The following is a 20,210-nucleotide window of genomic DNA, read 5'->3' as shown; positions in this document are numbered from 1 at the left end:
GCCCAGCCCTGCCCTTTGGGCTCAGAGATCTGGCTGCATCCTCTGCTCCAGGACAGCCCTGCGGGGGGCCTCTTGAAGCTGCCCTTCTCCTGCTCCTCCCACCACCTCCCCACCTGTCGGTCACAGTCCATATGATTCAGGTGGGGCTGAACCCACCCCCAGCTCCAGGTGACCCCAGCCCTGATCAATGAGAACCTGCCCTGGGACTCCTGTCAGAAACGATAAGCTGTAAGTAGAGCAAAGATGGGACCAACACAGCTGATGGGAAGGCTGAACACAGAGAGATGCAGTGGGGTCTCGGGGTTGACATGCTGATCCTAATGACAGTGTTTCAGGCCTGCTCCAAGTCATGCTTCAAGCTTGTGCATCTCTGGAACTTCCCAGATGTGGGAGCAACTCAATCCCCCTTTCCTCCTGGAGCCACTCTTCACTGGATTTTTGCCACTTCCAAATCACTGGCTATTAATTTGGGGATCATTTCACACTTTTCTGATAGGAAGATGTTATACTTGAGTTTCAAAGGTATCAAAATGAAAGACATCTGCATGTTATCCTGACACCTACACTTCACTCCTCCTTTACCCCAACAGAGTTTTCACCCCAACAGCTCACCTGGACTCCTCAGTTTCTACCCATTGGTACATCTCCACGTGCCTCCGCAGTTTCACAGCCGGAAGATGGACCCCATAGTTTGGATCAGACAAAAGCTTCAAACAGAATCAAAGAAACCAAAAAAATAAAGGATAACATTCACGTCAGCCCAGAAAGCCTGGCTCAGGGGAAGCTGGACTGGAAGAGGAAGAAATAGAGAAGGGGACAAGGGTGGAGAGCCCTACACTGCTTTGCAGGGGAGAATCGAGGACACTCCCTGTCCCAGGTTCTTTACACACAGTGCCTGTGACTGTGACCCTCACAGTACAGGCCTGGGCTGCATGGCCCAATGGCATGGTGCCAACAGCGTACAGGGTGTTCAAATAACAGGAAAGCTCTGGTGCCCAGGGTAGTTTTGTGGCCTTGCACTGGACACACATGGTCATCAGAGTCATGAGAGCACCTCCCTGAGTGCCAGCCACTGTACCAAGGCGTTAGTTACCTAATCTCACCAAATCCTCAAGGCTGGCCACAAGCTTGTAACCATTACCGTCCCCATTTTATACACGAAGACACTGAGACTCAGGATAGACAAGTCCACACAGCTGCTGAGTGGTAAAGTCGGGAATCACTCCCATGTGTGACCATCTCCAAGGCCCATGCTTTCAAATCCTCAGCCAGACAACATCCAGGATGAGCCCCGAGCCACTGGCAGGTCAGCATCCCCTGCCAAACCTACCTTGGATGTCCGTAAGGCGCCAATGATGTGCACCAGCCTTCCTTCATTCTCCGGAGCCACACTGTGGATGCTGTCGGGAGACACCACAAGCGAGAGCCCCTCAGCCAATGAGGTTGCCGTCTTCAATGCGCGGCCCTGGGAGCAAAGGGGAGTGGGGATTTCAACAGCTCAGGGGTGGCTCAGCATGACTGTGCTTGTTGCAAAGTATTAGGGTAGGATGGGGCCTCCGGGAGCGCTGAGACCCATCTCCCCACCGTACAGTTGGAAAACTGAGGTCTAGCAAGTGGAGAGTAAGGACTGGAACCCAGATTCCTGCTTTCCCAGGGAGACTTCTTCCTACTGCCCCATTGGTTCCCACTAGCCCCCACCAATCTTAGCACTGCCCCAGTGGTGGGAACAGCTGATGTTTCTGCCTGCCTGTCCCTTTCTCCCCATTTTTCTCTGCCTTCTTTTTTTTAATTTTATTTTTATGTTTAAGTTTTTTGTAGAAATGGGGTCTTGCTATGTTGCCCAGGCTGCTTTCGAACTTCTGACCTCAAGCGATCCTGCCTCCTTGGCCTCCCAAAGTGCTGGGGTTACAGGCTTGAGCCTCCATGCCTGGCTCTCCTCTCTCCTACTCAGCCCATGTGGTTTACCTGAGTCTATCTGAACCCTGGTCAGATTATGGGACCCAGACCTTGCCAGTCAGAACATGTGAGTGCGCCCTGGACACGGAGACTGATTCAGAGGACGGAGAGCCAAGCCAGGACACTGAGAGATGGCCCTGTAACTGCTGCTAAATTGATTTAGAAATATACTGTTGCATCATGAGGCCCTATTAAAAAAAAGGAGAAAAAGAAAGAGAGAGGGAGAGAAAGAAAGAAACAAACAAACAAGAAAGAGAGAAAGAGAGAGACAAAGGAAGGAAGGAAGAAAGGAACAAAGGAAGGGAGGGAGGGAGGGAGGGGAAAGAAAGGAAAAGAAAGAAAGGAAGAGAAACAGATGGTTTTTCTCTTCCCTGGGCTAAGTGGTTGGATGTAGGCCAGTTGCTGGGGCCACATTTGCCATCACAGATGAAGTGCCTGCCCAAGAAAAACACCATAATAGAGAAAAACAGGCAAAAGATGAAGAAATGGAGATTCCTGGTGACCCAGCATGAACACCTGGATCCAACTACGCCTGAGGCAGGTGCTAACCCCTGGATATTCAGGTGTGTGAACTGATCTACTCCCCTTCCTGCTCACATCAGCTGTGGGATGGATCACAATGGAAAGAACTGTGATTAACTCAGTATCCTCCTTTCTCTTTTTAAAATCTAGGCCCTTGATTACCAAATCCAGCCTCCGGGTTCATCGCCTTTGCTCTCTGACATGGTGGGGACTCTCACTCTGCACAGGAAGACCCCAGACATTTTACCTCATTGGTGAAAATTAGGTAGAAGGAGAGCAGGAAGGCCATGAGCCCCACAAACATCCCACCCGAGGTCTCGCTCAGCCGTTCCAGGAAGCCTGGCTGGGAGCTGGTTTTAACTTTGACATGTTCTCTCCGGGTACTGGTACTGGAATACTGAAGAAAAAGAAACAGTAACAGAATGAAAACTAGTTTTTAAAAATAAATTAAATTTGCTATTTATTTATACTCAATTTTTTTTTTTTTTTTTTTTTTTTTTTAGTTTTAACTGTATGTGGTAAAAACACACAGATATTCAATGTACAGTTTGGCAGGTTTCCACAAACGTATATTCCATCTGACCAACATCTAAAGCAAGGTACAAAATATTTCCATCACCCCAAAAAGTTTCTTTGTGCCCCTTTCCTGCCAATTCTCCCCCTCTCCACCAACCAGAGGTAACTGGTGGGGATGGGGAGAATCTGAATTTGAATTTCTCCTACCGTAGATTAGTTTGTTTCTTCTACAACTTGAGAAAAATGGAATCAGGGCACCAACTCCTTTCTGCCCAGCTTCTTGGACTCAGAGCACTGCTTTTGCAATTCATTCATGTTGTGGTGTTTATCAGGAATTTGTTCCTTTTCATGGCTGAGTAGTATTCCATTTATGACTATACCACAGTGTGCTGAATCATTCGTCAGTGGATGGGTATCTTGACAGCTTCCAGGTTTTGGCTGTTATGAATAATGCTGCTGTGAATATTCATACATGAACCTTTATGCAGACATGTGCTTTCATTTCCCGTAGGAATATACCTAGGAGTACAACTGCTGGCTCGTGAAGAAGATGTACGTTTAACTTTTTATGAAACTGCCAAGCTATTTTACAAAGAGGTTATTAGAGATGTATTTTTAATTAAATTCAGCAAACAGTGGCTGAGCTTTCTGAGGGCAGTGCTAGCCCTTGTGGGGTCAGAAGTAGACAGTCTTAGGGCAGTGAGGTCACAACCATAAACAATACTAGAAGGTCACACAGAGGGTCCTGTGATGGGGGTGGACTTGGTGCTCAAGGAGTGACCCCTTCCACCTGGGGTATCAAGGAGGCTCCCTTGAGTGGAATCTTAGAGGCAGATCTTAGGGGAAGAGCATCCCTAAAGGGAGAACCGTATCAGCAGTGATGAGGAAGTAGGAAGTGGTTCTGGGGGAGCAGCTGCCTGTCTGCTTTGGCTGGGTGGGAGCAGTGGAGGAAGAAAGGGCTTGGAGGTAGGCATTTCTGGGCAGGTTCACAGTGGGCCTCAAACTCAAGGGTGAGTGGATCAGGCTTTGGTCAATAACAGAGGCATGATTTGGGGTGCATCCACTGCTGATCAAAAGTGTCATCGTCTAGGGCAGGATTCTGGAGCCAGAAGAACTGGGTTTGCATTTATGCTCTGCCACATACCAGCTACGGGGTCTTGGGCAAGCAACTTCACCACTTTGTGCCTTCCATTTCCTCTGTGCATAGGGTTGTGGTGAGAACCAAAGAACACAGTTATTGGGTAGCTCAGGGCCTAGGGCGTGGTAAGCACTGGACACGTGTTAGCTAGTAGAAATGTTACCAGATTTCCCTACAACTGATACTGGGCTGGCACCAGGCTGGGGGTGAGCTGACAAAAGTCACAAAGATGTAAAGTGGGGCCCAGCTAAGACAGGCCCCATCCTGGTATTGGGGGCCAGAGGAGTGATTTGACTCAGAATCTCTGCTTGAACAAAGCTGATGTCGCATTCTGATTGTCTTTGAGTACCACCAGCCAAGGCCTCCAGTGACCAGATGTCCATGAATCCAGAAGTCGTCTTGACTTTCCATGCCATTTGGAAACATTAGGTGAGTGAATCACCACATAGGGGCAGGTGACCATCACAATGATGACAATGGCAAACACACCGGGTCTATCACAGGCCAGCCCACAGGCAAGCCCAAAGAGCGGGATGTCATAACGACCCCATTTCACCGATAAGAAAATCGGGCTCAGGGTTACGTCATCTTCCCAGATCACACAGCTTCTAAGAGGAAGAGTTAGGATTCAAATCCGGGCAGACTGGAGGCTACTCTCCCATTACTCATTCCAGTCTGTGCTCCCCATCTCTTGGGCTACAATGTGAGCTGAATGTTGGGAGCCAGCTGCAGGCAGCAATAGGAAAATAAGGCGTGTCTTCCTCTTGGGCCTCCCCTCAGCCAGCATCAAGATAAGGGGCTCAAAGACGGCCTTGGAGGGAAGGAAGAGAGGTACAGGAGGGTGCCCCTCAGGCTAGGGGAGGGGTGAGGTGGGCAGTGACATGACAAACCCAGCCCACATTCTGAACCAAAATTCCCAGTAAACATGGAGGATCATAAAGGATCTATATATCCACACATATTTATATATACATATAGTATGTATTACATGTATACACACATTATATAAACACACACACACACGCACACACAGACGGACATCCCCAGTGACACATCCCCTCCCAGTCCTAGCACTCAGGACTTAGAAGAAATGAGCAATGAGTGGTGGGAACAGAGGCTGACACATAGGCCCTGGAAATGGACAGAACTGGATTTGATGCCTAGGTTCACCAATCGCTTGCTGTGTAAGCCTGGGTAAATTGCTCTACCTCTCTGATTCTGTTTACTCACTTATAAAGTGGAGAGGGGAATAGTACCTTCACCACAGGTACTGCTGCTGCTGTACTGATTGAGAATTTTGTTGCCTCCCTGCTCCATCCCGCTATCTTCTTCCTCACCCAGCCTAGTGGCTGCTGTAAATGTGTACTCAGCTACTGGATGAATCAAAAAATGCTTGGCAGCAGAGAATACTCAAATGCATGTATATTCCTTGGTGAGGGGTCAGGTCTCAATGTACCCAAGATGATCTCTATCCACTGGGACCATTTGTGCTACCCTGCAAGGACAGGCTTGTTTTCAAGTATTAAGTACCTACCACACATCAGGCACTGTGCTAAGCAGTCTCCCTTAAATATCACAGTAACTGATCCATGAGGCTACATAAACCTGGAGAGATGAAAGCCACACAGCTACTGGGTGGAAGAATCTGGATTGCCCCCAGGTCTCCCTAACTCCAAAGCCTGCCCTTTTCAGCATATTTCCGTGTCACAGCATGCCAAGCCGGCCACGAGAGCTTGGGCAAGTGCCTTCCCCTGCTAGGGAAGTTCCCCATCTGTAAAATATGGTGGTGGTAGTGATGGGAGCAGACAAAGAGTCCACATACTACAGACAGGCTGGTCTCCTGACTGCCCTCTCGCCTGGCCGAGCCTGAGTCTCTCCGAATACCTCTGAGGCTTTTCTAGGTACAACATTCAAGGCTTCTAACCCTCCTGTGGGCCCGAAATGTCCTGGGAGTGTGGATGATACTAACCCGAGACAAAGTGTACTAGGGCTGTGGGTGATGCACACCCTGGCCTCTCAAGGGGTGTGGGAGGCAGAGAGGACGCTTGGGGACAGAGGCGGTGTCTGGAAATAGGGTGTGACAGGCAAGGGGAGAGCTGCTAGGACACTCTACCAAAGCAGGAGGGAGGGTGTGTCTGGGGCTGGCTGGGCTCCTAAGCGGGCCCTAGAAGCACTTTCACAGAGGAGGGGAGAGGTGAGTCACCAGCTTCTCCCACACCCAGCGCCCTGGTAGGAGGCGCTGCTTGTTGAATGAATGTTGGGCTTAAATAGTTTCCCGAGAAAGGCTAGTTGCAGGGAGAAGAGGCCTTGAGGGAACAGCCCTCAGCCAGGCCTCCTCCAACCAAATCCTTGCTAGGGGGAGGAGGGGCCCCGACAGTAGAGAAATGCTCCCTCTCCCCCAACTCCTTCGCTCCCAGCCCAGCCTAAGCTTTTTGGAGCATCACAGACTCGGTTTACAGAGACTCCCTAGGGCGGAGAGCTCTCTGCCCGCCTGGACAGCCCTGTCTGTCCATTGCTGGACAGCTCCACTTGGGCTGGATCGCCTTCCTCCCTCCCAAGGGACTGGCGCCCTCTCTGAGGTCGCGTCCAGCTCTCATAATGCGCAAGTTTCAGGGCCCCAAGGTACAGGAGGGAACTGGGAATGCAAGGAGGGGCCGCGGAGAGGCGTACAAGCAGATCCCAGTACGGGAGCAACACCTCCGAGTCCGCCTCCGCACGAACGCCGAGGACGAGGCGAGCCAAGGAACACGGACAAAAGAAGCCTGGACAGGCCGCGAGATGAGCAGAGGGATGAGCTGGCGAAGGCACAGACACGGCGAGCAGAGGGAGATGCGGGCCTAGCCGCACGGAGGAGCTCCAGGCGGCGAAATGGACCTAGAGGACCCCGGGGAAAAGCCCCAGGGCGACGGGGAAGCCTGGGTGTGGCCCGGCTGGCCCGGGGATACTCACATTCGCGGCCATGGTGGGACCCGGCTCGCTGCCGCCGCCTCGCGCTGTTCAGCTAGGAAGTGGGCTGACGACTGGAGCGTGGTGTCCAGCGGCCTCTTGCCAGCCCCAGCTTCGAAAATCCGCGTGGACTCCAGGGCCAAGCGGGACTTACTGCAGTTACCTCCCCCTGTGCCCAGTGTTTCTGCGCATGCGCGCGGCGAGACGTCCTGGAAACTATACGGTCCGGGACATTGCAGTACCTCATTGATGCGCCTGCGCACTGCAAAGCTTTCGGGGAAATGTAGTTTCTACTGCCTGGAGAGCTGTCGAGGAGCGCGCGACCTGCTGGGAAATGTAGTTTCCGGCTGAGGTTGGCCTGGCCGCGGTTGCGAGGGCGCCGAGGCAGGCGCGCGGCGGGCAGGCCTGGGAGGGGGCGGGTCCGCGCGGGCTTCGGAGGAGCCCGCCCTGCCAGAGGAGAGGGAGGTCACGGCGTAAAGGTGCAGCTGCCGCCACCGCCGCTTCTGCAAGGTCTCAGGGACGGGCTGCAGCCATGTCCTATTGCCGGCAGGAAGGTAGGGAGGGCGGGCTGCCACGGAGACCGGCCTACGAGGGCCTGCGGGAGACACGCGGGCCCCGGCGCCCCGCGACCACGCCGGGCGCGGGCCACCTGAGGCGCGGCCCAGGTGCCCACCCTGGGACACTCGGAGGCGGGCCGGCTGGGGGGTCGCTACTCCTGTTTTGCGGATGAGAAAACCGAAGCTCTGGGGGGAACGGGGCTGGTCCAAGGTCACAGTGAAGCCCGAACCCTGACCTCAGAGGGGCCTGTGCGTAGGAAGTCGTAAACTAGGTCCGGTTGGGGCACGGGAAGTGCCGAGCACGTTGCGTGTGGCTCGAAACTGGGAATGTATGGTGGTTAATTATCACTACCGCTCCTGCCATACCCCACGTGTTTACATTTTGCACGCGCCTTTAAAAGGCGCGTCCCGAAAAGTTGCCACTCGGGGTAGCGTGTGCTGTGCTGGAGTGCTAGGAGTTCCACTAACGGGAATGTTTTTGAGCCCCCTGCTACCTGTCAGGCACTGTTCAAGGAAACTTGCCTGGCTTGTCTCACAGATCTCGCTGCGACCTTTGTAAGTCAGGCTCTGTTGTTGGTCACATTTTACTGAAGAGTAAAGTTAGACACAGGAGACATGGCTAAAGCCACTCAGCCAGCAAATCGTGGAGCTGGGGTTTGAGCCTGGGCATTGTGACCCCAGAAGAGCCTTATCCAATCTAGTGCCCAGTGGATTGCAGGGAGAACCCTGCCTACCTCCCACCCCAAAGTTGAGCTCCGACCACCTACTGCTTCCTTGATGTTACTCTACCCAAGAGCTCAGAAGTACCCGAGCCACAGGTCGGAGGGCCTCCCCACACACTGCCACAAACTGGCTCCTTGGCCCTGAGCTCCCACCTAACCCCTCCAGGCCCTGGTATCCAGTGTTGTAAAATGAGATGTTGGGCTTCATTGATACGGCAAATACTCATGAAGCACCTTCTCTGCGCCAGAGAAGGGGGATGGATGGTTATAAAACTACAGAGAGAGTTGGAAGTCCCCCAGAAATTCTTTGGTGAATACTCCAGCTCCGTCAGTTAATTCAAGCAATCTGAAGCCCAGAGAAGGAGGTGGCCTACCTGTAGTTACACATCCAGTTAGGAGACTAGCTCAGCCTAAAATTCTGAGCCTTTTCCCTGGTGGCGCTGTCTGCTTCTAGAACCTCTCCTCCTCTGGGTCGTAAAGCCATAAGACTCACTCTTTAATGAGTACTATTATATTTCCGCTGATTACTACTTAATGTGTGCCATAAGCAAAAGTCCTCTGCCCTCACCACTCTTGTTTTTAATTTCGAGTCTTTCTCTAATTTACTTCATTTAGCAAATAATTTTTGAGCCTTTGGGTATAATGAGGCTGTGCTGATAAACAAGACCCTCCTCTTTGAGGATTTACAGGAGGCAGTTTTCTCTGGAAAGGGGAGGCTAGGTCCATCTGCCTCCAAAACATGGAGCCCTATCTTTTCCTGCTTCAAAGATCTCTCTTAGTTCGGAGAGGAGTGAGAATTGAAAGCACTCACTTATAGGCCTTCCTTAGTATTTATCTTGTGCATACCACTGTCCCCGTAAGAAGTCCCTAACTTCCCCCCCTCCGCCCCCCACTGATCCTTTATGCTTCCCATAGGATTTTTAAAAAATGATCCCAAACTGCTTACTGTATCAGAGCTTATGTGATCTGGCCCTGTCTGCCTTTCCAGCCTGGTCTCTTCCCACCCTTTTGCTGCCCAGCCTCTAGCCTCTTGGCTATTCCCTTGGTTTGGTATATCCTGCCTTCAGCTCTTCCGTGGCTGACTCCTCATCCTTTAACATTTAGCTCCAATATCACCTCCTGACCCTTTGTGTCTTTCACATCCTGAACTGTCTGAAATGACCTTTTTTATTTTTTGCCATCTTACTTCCTGCCTGTCTTCTCGCACTAAGCTGAGAGCATCAGATGGGCTGTGGAATCCCCAGCATCTAGCACAGGGCTTGGTGTACAATGGGTGCCCACATCTTTATTGAATCATGCATTTACCTGCCCTCTGTTCTGAGTGAATCACTTGCCTGTACAAGTTTATTTCAGGGGTCCACCTGCTACCCAGCCTTCAGGTTAAACTCGTTGGTTTGGCATTCAAGGGCTCTCAGCCTCGCACCTGGGCCTTGGGCTAGCCACACTTCTCCTGTGTCAGCACCATAGTGTTTCTTTCTTAGTTTCCTCTTTCTAATGCAGAGCCTGCCAACTCCTGTTCAGTCAACAATTATAGAGCACACGTGATGTGCCAGCCATTGGGCATATAGTGGTGAGCAAGGTGACACATTCTCTGCCCTCCTGGCATGGTGGAACAGATTGCCATTAAAACATCACCAGACAAATGCATGATTACAGACTGTCATAGGTGACATGAAGGAAAAGCCCAGCATGCTATGATCGTTTAGTGAAAGGCTCTATGGGGTCTGAGAAGGCTTCCTGAGGCTTCAGACATCCTTTTAAATGCCACTTTCTTAAGAAAACCTTTTGCAATCCTAAACACGTGTGAGCGAACACTACTTAAAACCCTCCTTTTGCCCTCCAGGCTTTGCCCAGGATGGTTCCTTCTGGAATGTCTATTCCCCTCCTTCCCTCCCTGAAGCTCTTTGTCAGGGACAAAGGTAGGATCCCTCCCCTTCCGTCTTCTCCACTGGATGCCTGTGTCGTATTCATCTGTGACCACCAGGTACTACCACAGAGCTGGAGCTGAGGAAGGTTTGTTGAGCTAAACTTCTAACACTTGCATTCTTCTTAACACTCTGTCTGAAAGCCATTTGTGTATTCTTCACAGACACTTGATTCTGTATGGGGGAGTTGTATCTTTCAAAGGGGTTAGATTCTAAACATGAAAGTCCTTAGCAGTCAGATTTATCAAACTCTTAGAAACCCCTTACCTCACTCAAAATACACCACAGGCACCACTCCCTCTGGCTTTAGATCTCTTTCTTGGGTTGAGCTTCAGAAAGTAGTGGTTGGAATTGTATCACAGGTGTATTGAATCAACTTAGCCAAAAACGAAAGAAAATAAGTCCTTAGTGCAGGTTGCCATTCTCAAACATGACCCTGGGGAGTCAGCATCCATGGGAGACAATAAACTGCTTCCTCTGCAGGACACAGGGGCATTCCTTCTGGGGTGGATGAGCTGAGAGATTCTGGTGTATAAAGATCCTCCCCTTTCATGGGGGAAATCAAACTACTCATCCAAGGGATTTTTTGGTCTCACTCACTTAATGGTGATAACCATTCTGTCTTCCTGCTTTCTGCTGGGACTGGGTGACAGAGCAGGAGTAGCGTCATCTCGGACAAACACTGGCACATTAAGTTCCAGCTCCCTTTCTAGCCTCATGCATTTCAAGGAAGTCACTTCTCTTCTAACTACAAGCAGCCAGAAAGAGCAGACAGTAAAACACAGACAAGACAGCTGGGACACAGAGGGAGGTGGGGGGAAAGTCTCTTGGGTGACTGCCAAACTTCACCCTCATACAATGGGCCCCAGTAAAACTGTGGGCCTTAATAAGCACATTCCTTTCCCTTCAGGTGTACTAAGATAGGGAAGCTAAAAGCAGTCTTGGGGGGATATGCCTGCAGCTGCAGAAAGATGTATGGAAACAGACACACCAGTCTGCCTCCCAGATAAGCACAACAAAGAGACACAGAAGCAGTCCAAGCCACTGATAAGCTCTCCCACCCTGAATCCTTAAAAACTCTTAGTCTGTAAGAGAGTGTGGCTCTGACCTAACTCAGCCAGCAGCCCCTCTCAGGTTTGTTTAAAATAAACCTGTCCCTGTTGACTGAAAAGCCACCCTTCGTGTTTCTCTCCTCTTTAATTCTTACACTTGGGTCTTCAAGCCCTAATCCAGAGTTGTTTCTCCATTCATTTTTTTCAACAAATATTGAACACCCACTTTGTCCTTGGTACTATTCTGGGCTCTCAGGATACTGCAATGAACAGAATAGACAAAAATCACTGCCTCTGAGGAGCTGACATTCCAGTGGGGGCATCAAGTGGTAAACATACATAGTATGTTGGGTGACGAAAAGCACTTTGGAGAAAGATAAAGCGGGATAAGGGAGATGGGCAGTGGTCAGGGACGGTGGCATCTGAGCAGGAGGTGAAAGCAGGGAGAAATCGCTGTGAGGGTACCTGAGGGAAGGGAAGGTGCTCCTGGAGGACAGAACACCCTGTGCAAAGGCCAGAGGTAGGCATGTGCTCAGCACATTCAAGTAAAAGCAGAGGCCAGCGTGGCTGGAGTGCAGGGAGTGATGGTGGGAGATGGGGTCGAAGAGGTGAGGGATGCAGCTCTTTCTGGATGTATTTGAAGATCGAGCCATTCCAATTTGCTGTTGGAGATGTGAGAGAAAGACGGGTTGGGGTGGCTCTACCGAGAGTAAAACTAAACAGCTGGGGGTGGAAGGTGTCTTTGTATCTGACTGCTCACTCAGTTCTGTTCTCAGCCCCACCCTGAAGTCCTGCACTCAGAGTAACCCCTCGGGCCTCCAGTTCCCCACTCTGACCAAGGTTCTGGGGTGGGGACTGAGTTGATTCTGGATGACCTCCTCCTTGTGCACTTTGAGTTCAGCTTTCTTCACTGGTTAAGTCAGAGAGCACTCGACCATCAGCTCTCCCATTTCCAAAACATTATTGACATCTCTGAGCCTGTGATTGTCTCTTTTCCTGGCCATGCTATCCTTGATGCCCTTTAAAAATTGCTGTCAAGTGGGATTCCAGCTGACAGCAGAAACTCATTTCACCTCCCCAACCACGTGAGGTAGGTAGGTGGAGCTGGTGGTAAGGCCTGGTTTCTGAGGCCCAGATGGTACCTGAGCTCATACAGTGGGAAGTGCTTAAGCCCAGATTTGAACTCCAGTTCTCAGACTCTCTGTGATATTGAAATATTGAAGCCACTGTGCACCAGAGGGTTTAAGGTAGTTTTCCACCTCCTTCAGAACATGCATATTCAACTGCTTTTAAAGCTTATCTTAGAAATAAAAACACAAGCACTTTTAAATTTTATTTCTCTAGAGAAATTGCTGACAAATGTCATGAGAACTACTAGTCTAGCTGATTGTCCCACTAGTTGGCATCTTACGACTAGTCTGACCAGTCCTTTCTTTCACAGTTAGGTCTGTTAGGAATAGGTAAGCCTTGTCCTTGCATCAGTCCTTGAATCGACTTTTAAAAGTTCCAGAAAGCAAAGGCCCTCTAGGACAGGCATACAATGGACAGTTTGTAGGGGACATACTCCAGATCTTTCAGACCAGAGTTCCTGTTCCTGTTCTGCCTTCATTTACTGCATGTCTTTTGGTCTGTTTCTCAGATCCTGTGGTCTCTGTAAAATGGAGATAAAGTAATACCCACCAGTGAACTCACAGATGTAATAAAACACATTGCATGGGACAAAAATGTGTAAAAGATACAGCTGTTACTGTTCTACTTTCGATCCAGTGTGAACTGTGCTGCAAGGGAAAATGTCCAGGAAGGCACATGTGAGGACCTGGCCCAGTGGGAGGGACCTGGAATTCTCAGTGGGATTGTGCTAGGCTGGTGTTTCCTAACCTGGCTGTGTATCACAGTCACCTGTGAAGCCCGTGAGCTACATGGACATGGCAGAGAGCTCGATTCAGCTTTTCTTGGGTGAGGCCTGGTCTCTCTATGTATGGCAAACCCCAGGAGGGCCTCATACTTTACCACGTTTGGACCCTTTGCTTTCTGTGCCTGTGACTGGGCCTCCCCGTTGGGCTGCGCTGAGCTGCCATCTCGGTAAACAAAACTGCCAGAGCTGAGTTGCGAAATTTGCATCAGCTCATTCTGCTTAGCGTTCAACATTTTTACAGATTGCTTTTGAGTATTTTGGAAACTGGCCAGAATAGTAGAATCAAGGTTACTAGGTACTTTAACAAGTCCTGGCTGCCTGGTCCAAAAGCTTTCCCCAGTCAGCCACAGGGGAAAAGCAGCCTTCTGTTGGATGACATGCAAGGTATTGAGGCAGAGGCCAGCTCTGGGAGCAAAAGCCTCCAGTGGGTTGGGGGTCCTGGCCCCGTGTGCTGAGGGTTTTTTGTTGTTACTCTGTTCTAGTGTAAGAGACCCTGTGCAGTGTGGGCATGGCGTAAGGCACCAAAGTGCCCTCCCTCTGTCCCCTGAACTGTCCTTCTCACTGGAGATGTCGCTCGGTTTTTGTTGTCACTGCCCCCTTCCTTCCAGAAGCCTCTTCCTTAATTACTTCAGCCCAAGCATGGGCCCAAACCTTTTTCCTTGCTTTCCCCTCAGCATAGCTGTGACTGAACTTTTCTAAATATAAACAAAAAGTATAAAGTGATCAGAGATGCCCGCAGCTTTCACAGGGCCACGTTTCTGCAGGTCCGGCCTCTGCGCCCACAGTGGCCACTCACTCAGAGCCATGCACTGTGGCTCTCTGCCAGGCACTTTTGGCCATACCTGAAGAAGTCTTCTTAAATGCTTGGCACCTCCTATCCCCTTCCAGATGAGGGTCCCAGTACCCCAGATCTTCTAGGATCAGAATGCATGGTCAGTTGGTCTGTAGAATTTGTCATTCACCTTCACCAGGAAAGTACAAGAAAGATCTTGTTTGTTTACTTGGCAAACATTTCACTTGGTTCTAAGCTTTTTGGGGCCGAGGTTGGGTCAGAATTTATTGTATTTATTCATTGCCCAAGGTGCACAAGCTCTCAGGCAGTGCCCAGTCATGCTAAGTGCTCAGTGTCAGCTGTCGATTATTCTTGTGCAAATGTTGGTGCGGGGCAGTATGGGTGTGTAGAAAGGATCTCCAACAGTGTAGACTTCAGAGCATCCTGTCCTGTGTGGCCCAGCAAGTTACTACTCACAGCCTCAGGCTCACCACCATTAAAAGGGGATGCTGCTACCTCCCTCTCAGGGTGGCGATAGGATGGAGGAATGAGCTCACACGGAGGACCAAAAGATGGACTGGCTCTGTCTGTTCTCTGGGGACAGCTGGAGAAACTGATGACCCACCGTGCAGTGTGGGGTACTGAGGACAAGGTGCTCCTTGCCCACAATGGGAATATCTGACACATACCTGTGGTGTGGTTAGCTGATGGCCAAAGTTTTTAGGGAGGTGAGGTAAAGTGTTGACAGCTACAAGGTGTAGCAGAGAGGGCTGTAAGGACCTCCCTTCTGCTTAACTCAGCCTTGGTTTTCTGTTGTACTCCATGGGGGCTGAGGGTGATAATACTTCATAGGGGGTCACTCTAAGGCAGTGAATGCACCCACCCTGGTTTGGCCAGGACTGATGTGCTTTTCTGTGCTCACCCAGCCTCCAGTGAGGAGAAGCTCCTAATATAAAATGCATTTGACTCTCACTGGTCTGTTTTCCTGGAGCCCTCAGACCTTCCGGCAGCCAGGCCCCAGGGTGAGGGCTCTGGTTGTGAACAAGGTGCTCTGCACTTTAGGCCTGCTGGCTTTCCCATGCTGGTCCTCACAGGACCACAGTCCTGACCCTAACCACTGTTGGGTTTGTCCTAAAAAAATAAACTGCAGATGGTCACAGTTAAAAAGATCTGAGAAGTGCTCCTCCCACTGCCCCCCTCCAGTTATTATACTTGTTGGGAAATGGTCCCCCGGCCTCTTGGACTGTGGGGAGTGGAACGGCTGCAGTGTTCCTCACCTTATGACCCTTCCTTCTTCCGGCCACGATTAGGAGCCCAGAGGCCTAGTGGGGGTGCTGGCTGTGGTCCCTCTCAGACCACCTGTGTCCTCAGCCTTTCAGAGGCAGGGGCCTGTGGCCGCATCAGCTATGTGGGCTGCAGTGATCTGTAGGCTGAGGACCCACATCACTGCACACTCACTTTGCCAATGTGCTCAGTCTTCCTTCAACTTTTATGCATTCTGAACCCTGTGGGTCAACCCCAGGACACTCTTTTTCTTCAGTGCTTCTTTTCCTGCCCTGCCCCTTATCCATCCGCTTTTGTTTGCTACCCCTAGCATATGAGAGCAGTTTGATAGTCACCTCACATAGGGATGGCATATGGGAGAGTCTTCAAACTTGGTTTGTGTGGCGGCTGCTTTGGGTTTAAAGCTGATTCACTGCTCTTGAATGAAATATTTCTTCCTCTGTTCTCCAAACACTAGGGAAGGATCGAATCATATTTGTAACCAAAGAAGATCATGAAACTCCAAGCAGTGCAGAATTGGTGGCTGATGACCCCAACGATCCATACGAGGAGCATGGTGAGTGACATGTGGCCTCCCAGGGACCCACACCAGGGCACTGGGGAGAAGCTCAGTGTTCTTAATTCCTTTCCCATGTTTTCCTAGCCAAGGCCAAGTTTTCAGGTATCTATTCTCAGCCATAGACCATCTCTGAGGGCAGTGGTTTATCTTCCTCAGAGGTTTGAGGGACTGTGCTTTCCAGCCTTGTTCTGATGTACTTCCCTGGCACAACAGCTAAGTTTTGGGAGAGGGTATTAGTAGATTCCAGCAGTTATAGGTAGGTTAAGGTGACAGGGCTTTTGCTCAGACAAGTTGCCAGACTGAATTCTGCCACATCTACCAACTTTATTAGCAAGTAGACAGTCATTCACCTTGTTCTGTAAGGTTGGTGAAGTCCCTGCTGTCTCTAACTGCTCCAGCAAGCACCTTACATGAAAAGGTCACTTGCCACAGACAGCTTTCTAGCAGCAGGAGTCAGCTAACCTAGTCAGAGCTGTTGCTCACTCCTTGGTTAATGGCTGAATATAACAGTGGTCGCTTAGGCCTAGGACATTGTTCCAAAGGATTTGGGCTGCTAAACTCACTAGATACTTACTACTGCAGACCGTGTGAGGTGGATGTGTGTGTGCAGTGTCCATGAACAATCTACGTATTGTACAGTAGTCACTTCACCAATCAAAAACCACTTCTGATGTCCATGATGACAACTAATCTTCTAGTGCTAACTGGTAATTGAAGAGCTTGAAGCAGCCGCCTCGAGAATATGGGCTCCTGATTGGAATTTCTCAAATGCTAACTGATGTGTGTATATTCCTTGTAGGACCCTTCACTTGTTGCCCTGACTGCTCCTAGGGGTTAAAGCATAAAATACATATCCAGCACCCAGTGGGAGCAGTGGGAAATGCAGACGTTATACAAAGTGTTAGCATTCTGAGAAAGACAGCTGCAAGGGTAATCTTGATCAGGGCTTACATGTCAATTCTAGTACCTTGCTTATCTTTAGATCCATATTAAGCACATTTCATTAATTGATCAAGACTGTGGAGGCCTGCAGGACAAATCGGGCCTTGTTTTGTTTGCCTCACAGTGTTATTAAAAGCAGTACGTATCTGCCTTTAGACTGGTCTGCCCCCTCCAGATCCCACCATTCTTTCCTGTCCCTGTTGTTTTTTTTTACCTGCTTCTGTCACTTGCAATGTATCTGCTTGGATAGTAGGTATACCATATGATGCATTTGGCTTTACAGCCCCTTATAGTGAATACTTTGTAAAAAGAAGCCTATAAAACGCAAAGAACTCTGGGACCCAAGTTTCAAGCTCTTAAACTGCAAAATTAGTAAGTGGACCAAGTAAGCCACCATTTTATGCCATCTACCTGCCTTCCAGCATCCAGCTCTGCAGCTGAGATGGTGCTTGGAATAGCTAAGAGTACCAAGAAAAAAGGTGGCAGAATTAATTTTCCTAGAATCAAAACATCAAGAGGGCCTTAAAGATCATCTGATCCAATGAGAAAACTGGGGGCCTGGGCGGGGGCGGAGACTGACTCAGCCAGAGACTGGAACTTCAGGCCTTAGACTGCATGTTTGACAACACACTGCATCTGAGCTTTATGTAACATGCCAAAGGTACCCTCTGTGTGGATTTATATTGTGTCCCTGAAATGCAAATTGGCACCATGTGCTTTGTGAGGAGGTATCTCATTCCAGCTTACCTGCCCCTAAGAAACAATGAAACAAGGACTCCTGGAGACCTAGGTTATACATTTTTTGTTATGATTTTTTTTAATCAACCACCTGGTCAATTTGTACTGGGTTGTAATTTTTAAATGTCAGTATTACCTCTTTTGGAAACTGGTTGTGCAGGTTTGTGAGCAGATTTGAAGCTCCAGGGGGCAGCATTTGCAAATGTTTCTCCAGCACTGAGGTCCATTTCAAGAAGTGGTGAGATGTAGGGGAAGGGGCATGGACTCTGGGAATCCTGTCAGCCCAGTCTGCAGTCCTCACTTGGACCATGAACCCCAGAGACTGCATGAGTAAACTGGGGTTAGTAGCACCCACTGCAGAAGGTTGTCAGAAGGCTTATGTGAGTTACCAAACGTAGCTTAATGCAGGAGAACTTGATCTGCAACTGCTGATGGTCCTGGGGGTCTGCGCCTGCTAAGGGGGCAGCACTAGTTGGCATCGTCCTTGCTGTCCCCATTTTACAAGTAAGGAACAGGAATAGCTACAGCAGATCCATTGATCAGTGGAGCTTCCCAAGCTGGAATTGAAGGCAGGCGGGGTTTCGCCTAGGACTTTGGACGTTAGTGCAGAGTGCCAGGCTTGGGTACTGCCCTGGAGTGAAGAATCATGTGTAATTTCACAGGACCTTTTAGAGGCTCTCTTAGAAAGTACTTTCAGTCTCTTAATAAGAATCATGTAAGAAACTTCTGTATGAATCATGTCTTCACAAAGCTGAAAATGAAGCCATCGTTTTGAGAGCATTTTGGAAAACCAAGAAATACTATTTAGATGTGAATAAAGTTCAATGATAAGAAAAGGTATAAAAGTCAAAAGTAAGAAGCCTATTAATATAGTGAAAATGAAAACCCATCTATAACCTTGCTTCCTGCCCAACACATATGTGCAGTTTAACAGGTTTGGTTGATTTTTACAAGAATGCACTCGCACTAATGGTATGCCACCAGCTTCTCATTGTGCAGCATGTCTTGGACATCTTTCTTCGTCAGTACATAAGGAGCAACCTCCTCCTTTTCACCAGTCCCCAGGCTATGCTGAGCTTCTGAGAGCAGCTGCAGGGCAAGAGGGGCTCAGGGGGGCAGGGAGCATGGGGGTGGGGTGGTCCTGATCATCCATATGGGGAGGGGGATTGGAAAGAGGAGATCAATACCTCAGTTCCTTAAAGTGTTTGGGCTTTCAAAAAGCTCCTCACTAACCATCCAAGTGATCTCCTCTTCTTTGGGCTAAATGGGTCCCGGTATTTAATTCTTGGAGCACAGCCTCAGAGCACTGAGAGGTGGCTTAGAATAAATTAGTGTCACACGTGGAGAAATATGTCATTGGTGGCTTCTCTCCCAGGTGGGCCAAGGAATGCTGGATATGTGCTAGGCTTTAAACCTAATCCAAATCGAGGTGTGGGTCCATAGGCAACAATAGTTCCTGTTCTGCACCCCCTCAGTAGCCTGTGAGGACTGGACTAGTTTTGTATTTTCTGAAACTTTAGAGAACATCTCTCTATCTTCCTGTTCTAGGATTGATACTGCCAAATGGAAACATTAACTGGAACTGCCCATGCCTTGGGGGAATGGCCAGCGGTCCCTGTGGAGAACAGTTTAAGTCAGCCTTTTCCTGCTTCCACTATAGCACGGAGGAGATCAAGGGGTCAGACTGTGTAGACCAGTTCCGGGCCATGCAGGAATGCATGCAGAAATACCCAGACCTCTATCCCCAAGAGGATGAGGATGAGGAAGAGGAAAGAGAGAAGAAGCCAGCAGAACAAGCAGAAGAAACAGCTCCCATTGAGGCCACTGCAACCAAAGAAGAGGAGGGATCAAGTTAATGAAGGCCACAAGGCACTGGGCACCAGTCCTTTTGGAGTGGACCTTTTGCAAAAGGCCTTGTCATCACCTTCCAAGAAAGTTTCCTTCTGTTGTCCTGTGCATTATAATATACAAAATAACTTATTTTGATGATCAGAGGTCTTGAGGTCTTGACATCTTGACATATACACTGAAAAAAATGGGGGTTGTATGTATGTGTGTCCTACCCAAACCTGTGGCCGCCACTTTTGAATTCTCAGATTGCCCTGAATTTTGCCACTTTTAAATAATGTGCTGAATAAGCTCAGCAACTAAAAACCATTACCCAAGAACGTTTCTTGTGAGTGAGCTGATTTATTCTGATTCATTATATTCCTTTTGGTAGATTTTATACCCCTTGGGGAAATAATACAACAAAAACATCTCTTAAAAATGCTGGGATGGGGCCATATCTACTAGCAGAGGCCAGATGGTCAGATATGATTTCTGCAAACCCATCTTGACCTTGAGTATGTGAAGGGGTACTGTACTTTATTCCTGATACATTTTGGTTTCCATGTAGGTGTTGAGCTCCTGGTTTTCTGTGTTTGGATGATGAAGATTTGGACCCTTCCATTCATAATCCCTTTCTAAGTGAAGGGAGAGGCTGGCTTGGCTGTTCCTTGTTATTCCGAAAGCCCTGGTTTGGGGCCCATGTTCACACTGGCTCTCAGTCTAGTCAGGTGCAATGTTCTTGAGAGGTGGGGACCTAATTATTACCAGAGTAGCAGCAAGAGAGGAAACGTTGTGAATTAAGTATTCAATTAAAAGGAAACATGATTTCTACCTGA

At 49.3% G+C, this 20,210-nt stretch overlaps 2 protein-coding genes across 10 annotated transcripts in view, besides 10 other annotated features; one reads left to right on the top strand and one right to left on the bottom strand.

Annotated features, from left to right (window-relative positions):
• TMEM43 (transmembrane protein 43) overlaps positions 1-7,235 on the bottom strand; it is an 18,629-nt gene extending 11,394 nt beyond the window's left edge. For 6 of the 8 annotated variants that reach the window (NM_001407274.1, NM_024334.3, NM_001407276.1 and 3 more), the window contains exons 1-4: positions 7,082-7,235; positions 2,726-2,875; positions 1,331-1,465; positions 613-707 (exon numbers count right to left, since the gene is read on the bottom strand). In NM_001407274.1, the coding sequence (NP_001394203.1) occupies positions 613-707; positions 1,331-1,465; positions 2,726-2,875; positions 7,082-7,093 (392 nt within the window). In that variant the 5' untranslated portion in view covers positions 7,094-7,235. The remainder of the gene's footprint in view (positions 1-612; positions 708-1,330; positions 1,466-2,725; positions 2,876-7,081) is intronic. The other 2 variants (NM_001407278.1, NM_001407280.1) reach the window with 2 other exon arrangements.
• Positions 6,323-7,057: an enhancer, noted in NCBI's record as "H3K27ac-H3K4me1 hESC enhancer chr3:14166730-14167464 (GRCh37/hg19 assembly coordinates)". NCBI's record gives its function as "activates a minimal SCP1, AML or CMV promoter by ChIP-STARR-seq in primed H9 embryonic stem cells {active_cell/tissue: H9 hESC(primed)}" and the evidence as "EXISTENCE:reporter gene assay evidence [ECO:0000049][PMID:30033119]".
• Positions 6,601-6,890: an enhancer, noted in NCBI's record as "active region_19498". NCBI's record gives its function as "activates an Ori minimal core promoter by ATAC-STARR-seq in GM12878 lymphoblastoid cells {active_cell/tissue: GM12878}" and the evidence as "EXISTENCE:reporter gene assay evidence [ECO:0000049][PMID:35858748]".
• Positions 6,991-7,190: an enhancer, noted in NCBI's record as "active region_19497". NCBI's record gives its function as "activates an Ori minimal core promoter by ATAC-STARR-seq in GM12878 lymphoblastoid cells {active_cell/tissue: GM12878}" and the evidence as "EXISTENCE:reporter gene assay evidence [ECO:0000049][PMID:35858748]".
• Positions 6,991-7,940: a biological region, named in NCBI's record as "H3K27ac hESC enhancer GRCh37_chr3:14165995-14166729".
• Positions 7,058-7,792: an enhancer, noted in NCBI's record as "H3K27ac hESC enhancer chr3:14165995-14166729 (GRCh37/hg19 assembly coordinates)". NCBI's record gives its function as "activates a minimal SCP1, AML or CMV promoter by ChIP-STARR-seq in primed H9 embryonic stem cells {active_cell/tissue: H9 hESC(primed)}" and the evidence as "EXISTENCE:reporter gene assay evidence [ECO:0000049][PMID:30033119]".
• Positions 7,381-7,940: a silencer, noted in NCBI's record as "silent region_14089". NCBI's record gives its function as "represses an Ori minimal core promoter by ATAC-STARR-seq in GM12878 lymphoblastoid cells {active_cell/tissue: GM12878}" and the evidence as "EXISTENCE:reporter gene assay evidence [ECO:0000049][PMID:35858748]".
• Positions 7,417-20,210, top strand: CHCHD4 (coiled-coil-helix-coiled-coil-helix domain containing 4). 2 transcript variants are annotated; one of them, NM_144636.3, is made up of 4 exons: positions 7,417-7,632; positions 10,201-10,370; positions 15,763-15,861; positions 19,093-20,210. In NM_144636.3, the coding sequence occupies exons 2-4, from the start codon at positions 10,310-10,312 to the stop codon at positions 19,398-19,400; spliced, it is 468 nt and encodes a 155-aa protein (NP_653237.1). In that variant the 5' UTR covers positions 7,417-7,632; positions 10,201-10,309; the 3' UTR covers positions 19,401-20,210. The 2 variants fall into 2 exon arrangements, with proteins under 2 accessions (NP_653237.1, NP_001091972.1); NM_001098502.2 differs by lacking the exon at positions 10,201-10,370.
• Positions 7,951-8,000: a silencer, noted in NCBI's record as "silent region_14088". NCBI's record gives its function as "represses an Ori minimal core promoter by ATAC-STARR-seq in GM12878 lymphoblastoid cells {active_cell/tissue: GM12878}" and the evidence as "EXISTENCE:reporter gene assay evidence [ECO:0000049][PMID:35858748]".
• Positions 8,561-8,660: an enhancer, noted in NCBI's record as "active region_19496". NCBI's record gives its function as "activates an Ori minimal core promoter by ATAC-STARR-seq in GM12878 lymphoblastoid cells {active_cell/tissue: GM12878}" and the evidence as "EXISTENCE:reporter gene assay evidence [ECO:0000049][PMID:35858748]".
• Positions 9,264-9,999: an enhancer, noted in NCBI's record as "NANOG-H3K27ac hESC enhancer chr3:14163788-14164523 (GRCh37/hg19 assembly coordinates)". NCBI's record gives its function as "activates a minimal SCP1, AML or CMV promoter by ChIP-STARR-seq in naive H9 embryonic stem cells {active_cell/tissue: H9 hESC(naive)}" and the evidence as "EXISTENCE:reporter gene assay evidence [ECO:0000049][PMID:30033119]".
• Positions 10,000-10,734: an enhancer, noted in NCBI's record as "NANOG-H3K27ac hESC enhancer chr3:14163053-14163787 (GRCh37/hg19 assembly coordinates)". NCBI's record gives its function as "activates a minimal SCP1, AML or CMV promoter by ChIP-STARR-seq in naive H9 embryonic stem cells {active_cell/tissue: H9 hESC(naive)}" and the evidence as "EXISTENCE:reporter gene assay evidence [ECO:0000049][PMID:30033119]".

This window comes from Homo sapiens, chromosome 3 (genome assembly GCF_000001405.40).
Source record: "Homo sapiens chromosome 3, GRCh38.p14 Primary Assembly".
Classification (NCBI taxonomy): Eukaryota; Metazoa; Chordata; class Mammalia; order Primates; family Hominidae; genus Homo; species Homo sapiens.
This window is presented reverse-complemented; position numbering and strand designations above follow the sequence as displayed.